Genomic DNA, 14,743 nt, shown 5'->3' with positions numbered 1-14,743 from the left:
TGCCTCCGCCTCCCAAAGTGCTGGGATTACAGGCGTTGAGCCACCGCACCTGGCCATTTCTCTCCTTTTTTTTTTTTTTTTTTTTTTTTTAACACAACAGACAGCATACTACAAATATTAATCTGCTCCTTGTTCTTTTTACTTAATCACCCTTGGGATCTTTCCTTATCGGCACATGATATGCTTCCTTTTTTAAATTACAGCTGCATAGTATTCCATCATATGACATACTTTATTTGGGTTGTTTCAGTTTTCTGCTTTCACAAACAGAGCAATCAAGGGTTTCTGAACAGTTATTTCTGGGCTCAAACCTTGTTCCTTCTAGTCACTCAAAATTCCATAGGCATGTATGTGGCTGCCCACGGAGTATATATTAAACTTTCACAGGGTAGAGATGGAAGTGGCTTTAGAGCTGGTCTATTCCAACTCACTGGTTTAAATAAGAAGAAACCAAAGTTCCTGTGAAGTGACTTCCCCAAGTTGCAGAGTGGTTGGCCTGGGTCCAGAGCCCAGGCTTCCTGATTCCCAGGCTGACATTGTTCCTGCTGGATCACACTGCTGGGTGCTAGGGTGTGGGGAGGGTATATAAATACCACTGGCTCCTCCAGGAGCATAGAACTCATTAGATACAAAGTAGAACATGGTAAGAGTCAAGAGAGAGCCACAAGGCCTAGAGGGGATTCTTTTAAGGAGGAAGACACTTGGTTAGAGGAAATCTGGAAAGGCTGCATAGAGAAGGTAGCATTCAAGATGGGCCTTGGAGGGTGGATAGGATTTCACCAAGTAGAAAACGTGGAAGAAGGTTATTCCAAATGAAGAGACCAGCAAGAGCAAAGACGTGGACATGCGAAAACATCAGGCATCTTTGGGAAGCAAGGAGTCGAGTATGATTGGTACATAATATGTGATTGGAAGATAAGAATACTAGTAACTTCACTGAGATTATTGATCACTTACCTAATGCCAAGTGTTACTCTGAGTGCTTCTTCAATGTTACTCTTTAATCTTCACAACCCCACGATGTAGGTACCATTATTATCCTCCACTTTACAGGTGGGGACTCTGAGGCACAGAGAGGGTAGGAATTTTCTTAGGTCATAAGGCACACAGCTAGTAAGGTTACATTTTAGGAAGTCTGAATCTAAAATACTATTAACACTTCTCCATGTTACCGGGAGATGAGACTGGAGAAAGAAAATGATCATATTTGAGAGGATCTTGGAATTCATGTGGAGACACAAAAAGGTTTCTCCTACCATGAGTTGTAAAAAGAAAGAAGGGGATAAACATTTTTTAAGTACATACTATGTTTTCAAAAGATCATGTGTGATAGATGTTATTTCCCACAGAATTCAGATGAGAGAACTAGGGTTCAGAGGAAGTAAGTAACTTGTCCAAAGCCTCAAAGCTCTTAAGTGGTGAAGAAAGCGTTGAGTACCCTGTCTGATCAAAAGCCTGCGCTCTTGCACAGACAGTGTTTTCCCAAAGTAGCCCATGGAATACTCGTGCCCAGCCTAGCGGGGGATGGGGTTTTGTGGTCAACTCAGCTTGGGAAATGCTAAGATAACCAAGTTAGGCCTTCAGGTACTTTTAATATGCTATTGTGCTTCATAAATCAACCGAGAGGTAGATGTAGCATCTCATGTTTCCAAAACTAAACTTCCTCTCCCACTCCTCCTAAGTCCTTTGCATGTCACATTGAGCGGAAATCGTGCTGAGAGGGGCTATCAGTTTGGAAAGGCCTAAAGAGGCCATACTAGAGAAGCGAAAGGTGTATTTCCTGATCACCTGTGTCTGTTGCCACTCTTCACAGATACATAATGCTAAAATTCAGAAAGGCTGTTGAATCTTACTTCCTGAGGGCTGCACGGAAGCTATCTAAACTTCCACGTCTCAGAAAAGTGGTATTTTTTGTTTTGTCTTTGTGTGTTCGTATTCATTTGGGTTTTTTCTTTTCGGTTTTTTTTTTTTTTTTGGTATCAAAATGAAAAAAACTTGATTTCCTTTTTTTTTTTTTTTTTCCAGAGATGAGGTCTCACTAGATTGTCCAGGTTGGACTTGAACTAACTCGTGGCCTCGAGTGATAACTCCCACCTCAGTCTTTCTAGTAGCTGGGTCTATAGGGCACACATTGCACTCAACTCCAATTTTATGTCTAATGTAAAAATCTCCCAATTTCTATTCTAGTTCTTTTATAACCTGAGATAAAGATGTTGGGATGTTGAGAACCAAAAAATATATATAGGACATGCTTTCTTAGGTTTCTTAGGCTGTGTACCTAACTTCTAATTAGCTGGTGGTTTAATATATAATCCAATGTTGCTATCATATCACTATAAAAGACAGTCTGGCCAAAAAGAATACCTTCACACTCTTCCTCTGAAAATCCTCATGAAATGTTAAACTTACACATGTGGCATGGCTGAACCAAATAGGACCTTTGTCACTAAAAAGGAACTCTGCAAATCTTAAACACCGTATGAAAATAATATTCTTTGGCTGCAAATTCTGCCTACTAAATGACATTTTTGTGCACATTTGTTATTGCATTTGATAAGTTGGGTAGAGTTTCCTTTTCAATTTCAGTATTTTAAGAATTTTGAGGTGCTTGGGATGATTATTGGAATAGTCAGAAATGCTGTTGGTGGTTTTATGACACCATAAAATGACTTCGTTGCAAGGATGAGAGTGATGCTTAACATCCATTTTTATTTAGATAGCTGGGATCTCGGTAAAGGCTTACATATAACTCCAGATGCTTGCTAAACATGTAAAATCACTAGTTAGTAGTGTTATTTCATAGTTTTGGAGATACTGAATGGTGATCTCTTCAGATATAAGATAGGATTGACTGTTAGGTATTTTTCCTAGGAAAGTTTTTGTAATAAGGTAGTTTGCTTCTGCTGCTACTGAAATTTAATTTTAATCACTCAAAGCTGTGAGCAAAGTTCAGGCTCCCTCTTTTACCAACTGAATTAAGACTGAGAGGTAGAATAGTTAGGATAATCATGGGTTCATTTTTGCCCTAAGTCTATAGTTAGTGGAACCCAAATGAAAAATACAAATAACATAGATTTGTTCATTCATAACCTCTCTTAGGCCAAAATGAACACTATATTGTGATGCAAATGCCAGCAGAACAGATTGGAAAATAGAACAGTATTGTGGCCGGGCGCGGTGGCTCACGCCTGTAATCCCAGCACTTTGGGAGGCCAAAGCGGGCAGATCACGAGGTCAGGAGATGGAGACCATCCTGGCTAACACAGTGAAACCCTGTCTCTACTAAAAATACATAAAATTAGCCAGGCGTGGTGGCGGGCACCTGTAGTCCCAGCTACTCGGGAGGCTGAGGCAGGAGAATGGCGTGAACCCGGGAGGCGGAGCTTGCAGTAAGCCAAGATTGCACCACTGCACTCCAGCCTGGGTGACAGAGCGAGACTCCATCTCAAAAAAAAAAAAAAAAAAAAAAAAAAAAAAAAAAAACACAAAAACAGTATTCTACAGGAAAATTAAGAATGATGTTGATTGCAAACAAAAACAAAATATAAGTTAACTTAATTAGGTTACTCTAATTAACTACACAACTACCAATGTAAGTATTTTCTTTCTTTTGCACACCATATAACATGTACAAATACATTGGAATGTTTCTCAAGTATAGGCAATTGGGGTCCCCAACCTATGAAACATACCAGACTGGTGAGAAGGTTCTCATCATAGGAACTGAGGGAATTGGAATTCTGCACAATGCTGATGGCTTCTTAGGTTATGAAGGCGGGTAGAATTCTGTGTTCAAGATCATCAGTTAAAGGAAACTTGAGATGGGCATCCTGAATTGCAACCCTGGCACTGCCTTCCCTGTGAGCTTAAACAAATGACATCATCTCTTGTGCCTATTTCTTTATCTCCCAATTTCTATTCTAGTTCTTTCAAAAACCTTAGGCATTTTGCATAGTAAATCTGGAACAAATCTAGGAGGGAAGAAGGGAGAAGGAGATAAGTACCTTGTTAGGAAAAGAAAGTTTCTGCAGCAACCTTGTATTAGGTTTTACCGATGGTGTTTCATGTTCTGGACCATTTCTTACGCATTTATACATTTTCTCCTGGCCCTTGGAAAACTGAAGTCTCCATGGAACATTTCATGAATGATCACCAGTGTTACAGTTCTACTAAAATAACTGGGGCCTATTTATAAACCACAGGAAATTGTTCTTGCTCAGGATAGAGTCTGAATAAGTAATTTTAAAAATGGAATATGCTGTCAATCATCCATATGTTTTTAAATTTACTGTTTCCTAAACTGGCCTTAAGTATTCCTGTCTGTACACCTTTGTTCATGCTCTTCCCAAAGCTTGGGATGCCCTCCCCATTTCTTCAAATCTTCTCCTCCTTTTAAGGCTCAGCTCAAGTTCCACTTTTTTTTTGTAGAAATTTCTTTCCTTTTTGACATATCCTGCCATACCCCACAACCAATGGATCTCTTTTTTTCTGTTAACTCTGAGTCACTTGCAGCCTGTAACATATCACTTAGCATTCACTTAAGACCCATCCTATATTGTTGTCTCCTTTTTGCCATTGCATAAACCTGGGCTTTCCAGAGAGATTGTAAATCCCTTGAGGAGAGGGTCTGACATGGCAACCAACTCAGAGCTAAGATGGGGATGGCATTTGGCATTGCTGGTACAGGGTGGTCATTTTCAAGTGATCTAAAGCCGATTGAAAGTTACAGAGAACCCATTATGTGACACAGACAAAAGCTGAGCTATTGTGGTTGAGGCTGGGGTAAAGAGGGGCACACTGGCATCCTGTGAGCTGGACCCCACCATCTACCCTCTTCTCTGAGTAGGCCTGGGAGCACCCTTGGGGTTCACTCTCTCTTTCTTCCCTGTGCTGTTGGCACTCAGTCTTCTCAGGCTTTCATGCTGGGAACATAGCCTTCTCTAGTACTCGGGCTTCCTGGTTCCCTTCCTTGGGGCTTAAGCATAAATGTGTCTGAACTGAGCTGTTAGAACTTGAGTGTAGGAACTTTACATACCCTCTCCAAATTGCAAGCACCTGATCTGATCCATGGATCTCCAACTAGTCAGTTGGAGAACTCAGTATGGCTAATCAAGGAGCAGTCCTTTCGGCCATATCCCCTGCTTCTTCCTGCCCCGGCACAGAAAAATGACTGCATGTTTGAAACTCTGAAGGGCTCCCATAGGACTTCCTGTCAACACAAACATACTCTCCCCATAAGCAAACTTCTCCTTTCTACTTCATACTCTCAGTTAATTGCAAAGAAACAGAGTAAACAAATGTCCAGTGGTATTTTAATGACACAGATACGTCCCCATTCGGAACAGCAGGAACACGATGAAAAGTGGCTGTACCATCTACTCTTTGGGCCTGGCATCCTCCCAACCCCTCTCCACCCCAGCCCTGCACTACACACTTCTAAGGTTGGCTGCCTGGGCTGCCTGCTCTCCGTGGCTTCATGCTTGGATTCTTACTCCTCTTTTGATTTGTCAAATTTGATTATTAGACCAACAATGGGTTTACCTTTGACCTCACACCCTGCTGACCCCCTGAATGTGGGGATCCAGTTTTCACTCCAGACCCTAACTCAGGCCCTGGAGATCTCAACAGTAGTTCACTGATCGTGCAGTGGCTCTTCTGGTCCCACCTGATCCTGGCCACATCAGCCAATTCGAGACACAAGACCCTGCCAACCACACATGGCAAACGACACATGCCAGCTAGAATCTGGGGCTATTTTCCAAGACAGTCTTGCCTGGCCCTGACCTGTCTGTGCAGCCAACCCATTTCCATTCAATTCCAAACCCTCGATTCACGACCACAATCTTGGTAGTCTCCAGATTTGAGGTTGCATGTGCTTTTCCAGCTATTTAGACTTGGACTTACCTCTACAAACCTTGGTCTTGGTCACCTTTGTGGCTCTCTGTGCTCTCAAGAGCCCTGTGCCTGTCCTACCCCCTCAACAAGGGAAGTCACCCTTTTACTATCATCATTGGGGGGCATTCCATTGGCCTCCTAAAGAGTGGGTATAAGGACAGGCATGGTGGCTTATGCCTGTAATCACAGCGTTTTGGGAGGCCGAAGCAGACCAATTACCTGAGGTCAGGAGTTCAAGACCAGCCTGACCAACATAGTGAAATCCGGTCTTTACTAAAAATACAAAAATTAGGGAGAATTGCTTGAGCCTGGGAGGCAGAAGTTGCAGTGAGCTGAGATCACACCACTGCACTCCAGCCTGGGCAACAGAGAGAGACTCCATCTAAAAAAAGAATGGGTATAAGCCAGTGAAGAAAATTGCTTTAGGGAGAAGGGCTTTTGACTTCTTTAAATCCTGTAAATCAGGAGGTTATTCTCAGAGGGAGATATAAAATGAGGGTTGTATAAATCTGGAGTCTTAGTGTAGTTGAGAAAGTGTTACACACATTTTATAAAGAACAAATGATTTAATCTCCCCCATCATTCTACCAGATGGATTGAGGCCTACTGGAAATATGTTGTGAGGGAAACGTTTATTAGGAGGATAAGGAAAGGACTTAGGACTCTTTTGTGATCCATCTTCCATAAGCAGTCAGTTTGCTTTGTCTTTTGTCTTTTTTTTTTTTTTTTAAAGAAAAAAGAGTATTGGCTCGAACTCCTAGTGCTTTCTTATGTAACAAACAAGTCAGGCAAAGGGCATGCCTTAGTGCAACGTGGACTCGGCAGACTGCCTGCATGATTAGAAGTGCGGGGAGTTGGATGCTCTTGCTCCCTGAAGATTGTCATGCAATTCCTCCTCAAGTGTTGAGCCTCTTTCCGGCAGAAGGGTGCCTTAGGGCAGGCCGTTATGATGCCTTGTCCACTGCTGGCATTCAGCAAGGGTAAGTAAATCATAATAGTTTTATGGTAAGACTACTGAATTTGGAGGCTAGGTTTCCAAAGCCGGTTCTCCTAATTAAATATCTGTAAGTCACATAGCCCATCGGAGTTCCTTTGCTCATCTGTAAAATGATAAGGGTTGATCCCACAATTCCTCTAAGATCCCCTACAGCTCAGAAATTCCCCAACTTGATAATAAATTACAGTTGGTATCTAAGCACTAATTGAAAAATCTATAAACCAGGTAAGATATTCTAGAAATGAATATATTGGCATCTCTCAACAATCAGAGTAATAATTAGAGTTTAAGTTTGATAGAAAATCATCATCTTCTTCTGTAAATTACCAGGATTAAATAAGAAAAAAAAATATAGGAACATCTAGCATGAAGGGTCACAATAAGCTTCAGTTAAAGGGACATTTTCTATCCCAGCATTTCCCAAAATATGATCCTAGAAATACTATTCTGTCATGTAGAGTCACCCATGCAGTTGTGTTCCATGAAGGTCCTTTATAATGTTTTTTCATGTGTGTCTAAATTTAGAATCCAGTCAGATATCACATATTGTGTTTCATTGTCAGGTCTCTTTAGTTGTTTGTAATCTAGAACAGTCTCCATGACTCTTTTCATTTTTCATGACATTGACACATTTTAGGAGTCCAGGTTAGTTATCTTGCAGCATCTCACACAATCTGGATTTATCTGATTGTTGTTTCCTCATGTTTAGCTTCAGATTTAACATGATCCTGAATCTAATCTAGCTATTTCTGGGGGTTGGCAAGAAAGCTATGTAAGTGATGTTCATACTGTTATTTTTTAAATTGTTTTTCTTTTACCCTTAGTATATGATCAAATATTACAGAAATAACATGAGATAGAAATGGAAGGTACTCCAAAATGCCAACCCCCAGAAATAGCTAGTATTTATATTTTAGTCTATATGACACTAGATTTTTTTTCCTCTGCATATAACAAAAATTGAATCATTTTCTAAATCATTTTTATAACTTGCTCTTTTTACATGTTGCTGTATCTTGGAACCCTTTCTGTGTAAGTACATATAGATCTACCAAATTCTTTTCAGAGGTTTGTTTCCAGTGTTTAGCTGTTAGGAACTATGTACATCATTCATGTACATTTGTCTTTGTGTACTTAGGGGAATGTTTTCTATAGGTTACTACTATAATTACTTCTACAGTAGAAGTAAAATGTGGGGTTCAATTTTAATAAGTATTGCAACATTGCCAACACAAAACATTATATCAATTTATACACTTATGAACAATGTATGAAACGACTGTTTTCTCATATCTTATCCTGGTTTTACCTCTTTTAAAAATCTGACTGAGTGCGGTGGCTCACACTGGTAATCCCAGCACTTTGGGACGCCCAGGTGGATGGATCACCTGAAGTCAGGAGCTCGAGACCACCCTGGCCAACATGGTGAAACCCCATCGCTACTGAAAATATACAAAAATTAGCTGGGCATGGTGGGGGGTGCCTATAGTCGCAGCTACTCAGGAGGCTGAGGCAGGAGAATTGCTTGAACCTGGGAGATGGAGGTTGCAGTAAGCCAAGATCCTAGGCTGCTGCACTCCAGCCTGGGTGACTGAGGGAGACTCTGTCTTAAAAAAAAAGAAAAAATCTGTACCAACTGGAAGTGAAAATTTCTGTCTCATCATCATTTGAATTTGAATTTTTAAACTACAAGCAAGGTGGAGTATGTTTTCACATGTTGATTTCCTGCTTTTTGTTCCTCTTCCTGAACTGCCTGGATATTTCCTTTGCCTATTTTCCTATAGAGTTATCTTTTCTTATTGATTTGTAAGATACATTTTTATATTAAAGAAATTAGTAATTTCTTTTCTGTATGTGTAATGATTATTTTGTCCAGTCAATTGGAGCCCTAAGTAACATCCTGTGAAACATGTTCCAAGGAATATAACAAACTTAGGAAAAAGCCATGTTCAGACCCTTCTCTCTGAACTTTCCACATAGGGAGTAGACCAGGGCACTGACTTGATTTTAACCTCTGTGTGAAAGTAAAATATATGTTATGTATTTATACACATACACATGTACACTATGTATAATTGGAGAGTATTTTTAAAAAATATTTTCTTAGTGGTAATTTTTGTTTCAAAAAATAAACTACGTGAAGATACTTTAATAAAAGATCCTTAAACTCCTGGGCTGTGGTGGATTATAAGGTAGAAGTAGAAATTGTTCTGAAGCTAGAAATAGGCTACAGATAAGTAAATCCAATGTCTACAGCTGGCCAAATATTTATTTTCCTATGGCTGTACGTAATTTGGAACTCATCACTCTGGAAGGTCTCAGGAAGCTCTGATAAGAAGAGTATCTTAAGGAGGTAGACTCTATCCACTTAATTTTCTCTCACCTTGAGCTGCTGGATTTAGTTCCACGGCTACGCGTTGGCAGCCTGCAGATTGCACTGTTAGGTGCACTCAGGGCCTAAGTTTAATCTTCAGAAATTTTTCCAAACAGAAATGACTCTGGGCCAGAGGTTCTTTGTTTTTGTTTCTTTCCTGTTCCAACCAAGTTGGATTCCTTTTCTCACAATTTGGATCTTGTCATTGCATTTCATATGAGCAAGACAGCTGGCTTCAGAGATTCCTATATTTGGTGATAGCAAATTATGTTCAGCATTTTTACAAAGTTCTTTTAAATCATTTATCCTGGTTAACTGGACGTGTTGGCTGTGTGCCTGGTACAAAAATTAAAGATTAGTTAATTGGATGCACTAGGTACATTGCTGTCAGCTCAATGTAGAACGCGTGATGAACTCTCTTACCTCCTCTAAGTGCTGTCCTCACTCCTCTGGTCTAAAAGTCATGCAGCTTTTTCTTGTTCAATACTATTGACTGCTCTGTAGAAAGAAACAGGAGGAAAAAAGACCTCAACTTTCAAGCCCCCAAAGCTATATTTGCTAGAAAACTGAAATATATTCAGTTTCCAATAATAAAACATTTTCATATGTAGCTTTGGAGGAGCTAGAATATATTTTCTCAGAATTTGATTTCACATGTACAGGTGGTCCGTGAGGGTAAAAGTAAACTATCCACCCTGAGCCCCTAACAAAGCGAAGAAATAGGAAATAGAGAAATATATGCACACAGACACTAAACGGGAATTAGAGAAATAGACACACTCTGTAACCGTTAAACTATGAAATCAACACATAATGGCACTGAGCAGAGATATGTAAAATCTCTTTAAAAGGGCCAAAATCGATGACCTGCCTTAGGGCTTGAAGGCTTGGCTGCTGCTGGACTTAGGTATAAATGCATATTCAAAGAAAAAACACCATGTATATTATTTATAAAAGGAAACATAGAAATGTTACATGGCAACTGTTTTGGTTGTTACATAATAGAGCTATATTAACTTTGCTTCTTCCTTGCTATTCATTCCATGTGCATTTTTTTCCAATCAAAGATACTCAATGGAATAAAAATATTTTTCCCTTTTTTAAAAAAGTGTTCTATTCGCTAAAATAGTGGATCTGCTTCAAAGCTGTGATTAAGCATGCTCATCTGACTTGGTTGGGACAGAAGCTCCTATACCCTCTCAATTTGTTAAGCTACAGCTGAAATATTTTGATAAGAGAAAACAGGAAACAGCTCCACAAACAAACAAAAGTACATTCAAGGTGGAATCAAAACTTTTCCTTCATGGGAAATAAACTAACAATATCTCTGTTTTCTTCTGAGCAGAGGAGACCTGGCATAGAATATGGCTTCTTATACCACTGAAACATTCATTGAAATTAGGTCTCATAGATGAAACATATTGACTGTCATACCCTTTGGTTCAACCCCTCAGCAGCTGTCCAACTAACCAGGCTTCATGAACAGAAAGTTGAGACAAACAGCTCTGCTTCATGGACACACCCAGAGCACATACTTAGAATGCCCTCCCCACACCCCAGACTTCCATACTCACTCTGTCCTACCCAGCAAACAGTCGGCAACCAAATACATGTTAATTCGATTGTACCACAAGGATAATCATCCCAACCAATCACCTGTATGCGGTATCACTGATCTCCTAAAAACGTTCAATGGCTGGAGATTTTGACTGAATTTTGACCATCAGGTTTGATGTTTCCCTACCCACACCCGTTTAAAAAAAAAAAAACCTACTGCACTCCTCATTCTTCTGATTTGAGTGATTGTGTCATGATTACTTAATTTGCTTTTCATACTTTGCAGTGGAATTTAGATAGCTCAGATGTTTAACTCTTGAAAAAATGGTTACCAGTCACACATAACAACTACTTTCTTTAAGCAATGTCATGGGTGGGTGAGGTGGCTTACACCTATAATCCCAGCACTTTGGGAGGCCAAAGTGGGAGGAGTCCAGGAATTGGAGACCAGGCTGGGCAACATGATGAGATCCCATCCCAGGAGGTCGAGTCTGCAGTGAGCCGTGTTCGCGCCACTGCACTCCAGCCCGGGTTACAGACGGAGACCCTGTCTCAGAAAAAAAAAAAAAGAAATAAAGAAAAAAATGTCACAAGGATGTTGATAACTTATTTCTGGGCTTGTTCAGTAAAGCATACAAACCAACTTATGTATTTATGTCCTGCATCAAATATGACCTTAAAAACAAAGGCACAGCTCAAGCCAGTCAAAGCAGGTGTACCCTCATTGGCAACACTGTGGCGCTGCTTTTCCTCACTCTGGCATTTTTCTACATGTAAAAATAATCCCATTCCTATGGTATATGAGTGCACATATGTGGTCAAAACCACAAAATGCAAATGAAAGGTGGTCAGGGCACCATTTTATGACTGTGCACAGGCCTTGAAGCTTTGGCCACGAGGAAAAGAGAACTCCGAAGCAAAAACTTCGATGGAAACCATGGCACAGGGATTTAGTAGTCACTGGTCGTGGGCCCCAGGGAATGGCTGTGTAGCCGGCCCCAAACTGCAGTGAAGCCTATGAACACGCAGATCCCTAACATCATACATGAAAGCATTGGAAGGAAACATTTAGGTTGAATAAATGGATTCTGAGATGAGAGGGACTTTGTAAAGGGCCTGTCATTCCTTAGGACCACACCCTGACAAAAATCCTCTCCAACTTCTGACTGTTGTCTGAAATCGCACAGGTAGATTCTAATTTTCTTTGGCTTAGGGCTTTCTTCAGCATTTTTTAAATAAAAATATTTGAGAGAGATATAATACTGTATGCTCCTCTTACTGGTGCCCTAATGTGAATAAGGAGGAGAATATTCCTAAAATAAAATGTGTCCATAGGGCACGGGGACACAGGGAGAACCTGCCTGCAATGGGTCCTTGAGAAGAGGATGCTATGGAAGGTCGGGGTCAGGAGGCTTGATGCTCACCTGTGTGCCAGTGGCCTCCCTGGTGCCCTTCTTAACTTTCATTCCCATGGAGAGCTTTAGTATCTCAGCTCCCCATTGGTGATCCCCTGCAAAGTTGAAACAAAGAGGGAATGGGCTGTTCAGTTGCTGAGCAAAGGAAACAGCTGCTGATCCACAGAGGTCGTGTCGTGTAGTAGAAATAAATGGGGCTTGCAGTTGGGAAACACTTTTGTAGCTCTCTAAGGCTTTTAGGTCTTTCTGTGTGATCAACTCTCCTCTTGTGGAGGATCAACCCTGTCTAGATATTTACAAAATTAACACTTCAAGTTAATTCCTAAACCCAACCCAGCCCTGAGAGCCTGCCAATGCGCAGGGCTGCAGAAGCTCTTCCACAGTGAGGAGTGGCAATCAGTGGCTCTCAGGAGATGGGCCAACATCCCTCCCCCATTCCTTGCTCTCTGCCACCACCATGTCTCTGCCCAGAGATGTAAGATTTGTTTTGCACCTTTCTGAGTGGATCTGAAAGCCTTTTACAGAAAAGAATGAGGGTTAACCCAGGACAGAACTCTTAGTTTGTATTCATCAGATTACACTTGGCTAAAGACACAGTCACAGTTGGAAGCAGGAACAGACTCTATCCTTCCTAAGAAGCCTGGTAGGGGTTTTGTAATCACAGGATGAGTCTGGAGTATGAGACAAATCTCAAATAAGCTCAGAAATGTGGCAGAGGTGTGCCTCGCTGTGACCTACATGCTACATATGCTGTTTCCTTTAGTCCAGTCAGCCGGGTGGTAGTAGTGTCCATAGATATCGGACAATAACAACAACAAGGAACATTTCCATAGCATTTACTATGTGCCAGACACTGTTCAAAGGCTCTTACATACATTAATTGATAACAATCCTTAGAGACAGGTATACTACTACCCTTACATTTGACGGATGAGAAAACTGAGGCACTAGGGAGATTAAGTAACTTACCCAAGGGCACACAACAATAATTACAACTTATTACACTTTAATTTCTCACAATAACTATTACTGTTAGTGTCCTTATTTTGCAGATGAGGAAACCGAGTATCAGAGGCCTAAAGTACTTAACTAAAGTCAAACTGTTGAAGTGATGGCATGGCCGGCCTCTACCATTTGGGGAGCTTGGGGCTACAAATAGCCTCTATTTGTACTCTTGCCCCAAGCTCCCCAAGTGTTAAAGCCTATTTGTACTCTTGCTCCAAGCTCCCCAAATATTCCATGAATAAATGGAATATTTGTTCATATTCCATGAATAAATGGAATATTTGTTCATATTCCATTTGAAAAAATATGCAAAACTAATATAACAGGCTAACAGTTAGACATGTTCCCTCCTCCTACTTTGACAAATAAACCTTCATAACAACCAGGAAGCCCAGATTCAAATTTAGAATGTTCAGACTCCTTGGTCTGAGCCAGAAAGAGGCGGTATACCATGGAGAATCAGACCGTAGCCCCTGGCCTGGTGCCCTTCTCTTCCCACCTTTGAAATTCAAATATAGATACTCCAGTGTGTGCCGTCCACCCATTCTTCATCCTGTCTGCAAACAGTTATCCCTAGGGCACCCTGAACTCTAGGGCATACACATCCTTGAGAGGACAGACCCTGGAAGAGGCTCTTACAGGCCCTGGAAACAGGCGCAGGGCCGCTTGTACAGGGAATTCTGGAGTCTCAGGACCTGGAACACGGTCTTGAGGGGTATATATGGGCTCTGGTGAACTCTTCACTTCACGAGGTGGAGTGAGCCTTGAGGAGGGCAAGGGCCCTTTAGAGGTCATAGCCCAGGGCAGAGGACCCTCTTGTCTGGGTCAGAGAGTGGTGCTGGTGATAGTGCCACAGCTTTACCCACCTCTGGCCAACTCCAATGTTCTTGCTATACAAAACCACTGTTCCTGTCACTCCCTTGCCTCTGATGCCCCCAGTTTTCATGTCACTGAGATTTGAAGTGGGTAGAGGGAACACCGTGGGAAGGAGGGAACCCTAAGGGGGTTCCCTTGGCGGGGAATGATTGGAGGGTGAGGAGGCGAAGGAGCCCAAGATATTTCCTCTCACTCATTCCCACACTTCCCTTTCCCACTGGGTCCTGCCTCTGGCCTTGGATACACAAACACTGCTCAGAACAAATCCAAGTCATGACCGCACCCTTTCCTTGTTTATGGACACAAAGTAGGGAGAGAATAGGAACAGCCTTGAAAATGGGGTTCTTTCAGAAATTGTTCATTCTCCCCTAACCTGGAAGATAGGACTTTTGAAGAGCGCCCTGACTAGCCAGCCCCTGCTACTGCTGTTACTTCCTAGCACCTGGCAAGGGCTATTTACATGGACTTAAGGGGGATCCTGTCAATCTGTCCAGGCTTCTAAATTTAGTTTCCATAGATAAATGCAATTTCCTGTGTAAGCTATCATAATTAAAACTTTCCACAGGCTTAATGTTGTATTGTTGACGTTCAAATGTCATCACTCACAGTGTCATGCTTCCTTTT

The 14,743-nt window shown here is 41.3% G+C and overlaps 1 long non-coding RNA gene across 2 annotated transcripts; it reads right to left on the bottom strand.

Annotated features, from left to right (window-relative positions):
• Positions 1–319: 319 nt before the first annotated feature.
• LOC102724072 (uncharacterized) lies at positions 320–12,831 on the bottom strand. 2 transcript variants are annotated; one of them, XR_940094.3, is made up of 4 exons: positions 11,215–11,253; positions 9,690–9,764; positions 9,276–9,602; positions 320–1,062 (listed from the first exon to the last, which is right to left on the bottom strand). It is a non-coding gene; the product is annotated as an uncharacterized LOC102724072 (long non-coding RNA). The 2 variants fall into 2 exon arrangements; XR_001739475.2 differs by lacking the exon at positions 320–1,062 and adding an exon at positions 12,248–12,831 and having other exon boundaries at positions 5,296–9,602; positions 11,215–11,370.
• Positions 12,832–14,743: the final 1,912 nt, after the last annotated feature.

The sequence above is a fragment of the Homo sapiens genome, chromosome 2 (assembly GCF_000001405.40).
Source record: "Homo sapiens chromosome 2, GRCh38.p14 Primary Assembly".
Taxonomy (NCBI): domain Eukaryota; kingdom Metazoa; phylum Chordata; class Mammalia; order Primates; family Hominidae; genus Homo; species Homo sapiens.
This window is presented reverse-complemented; position numbering and strand designations above follow the sequence as displayed.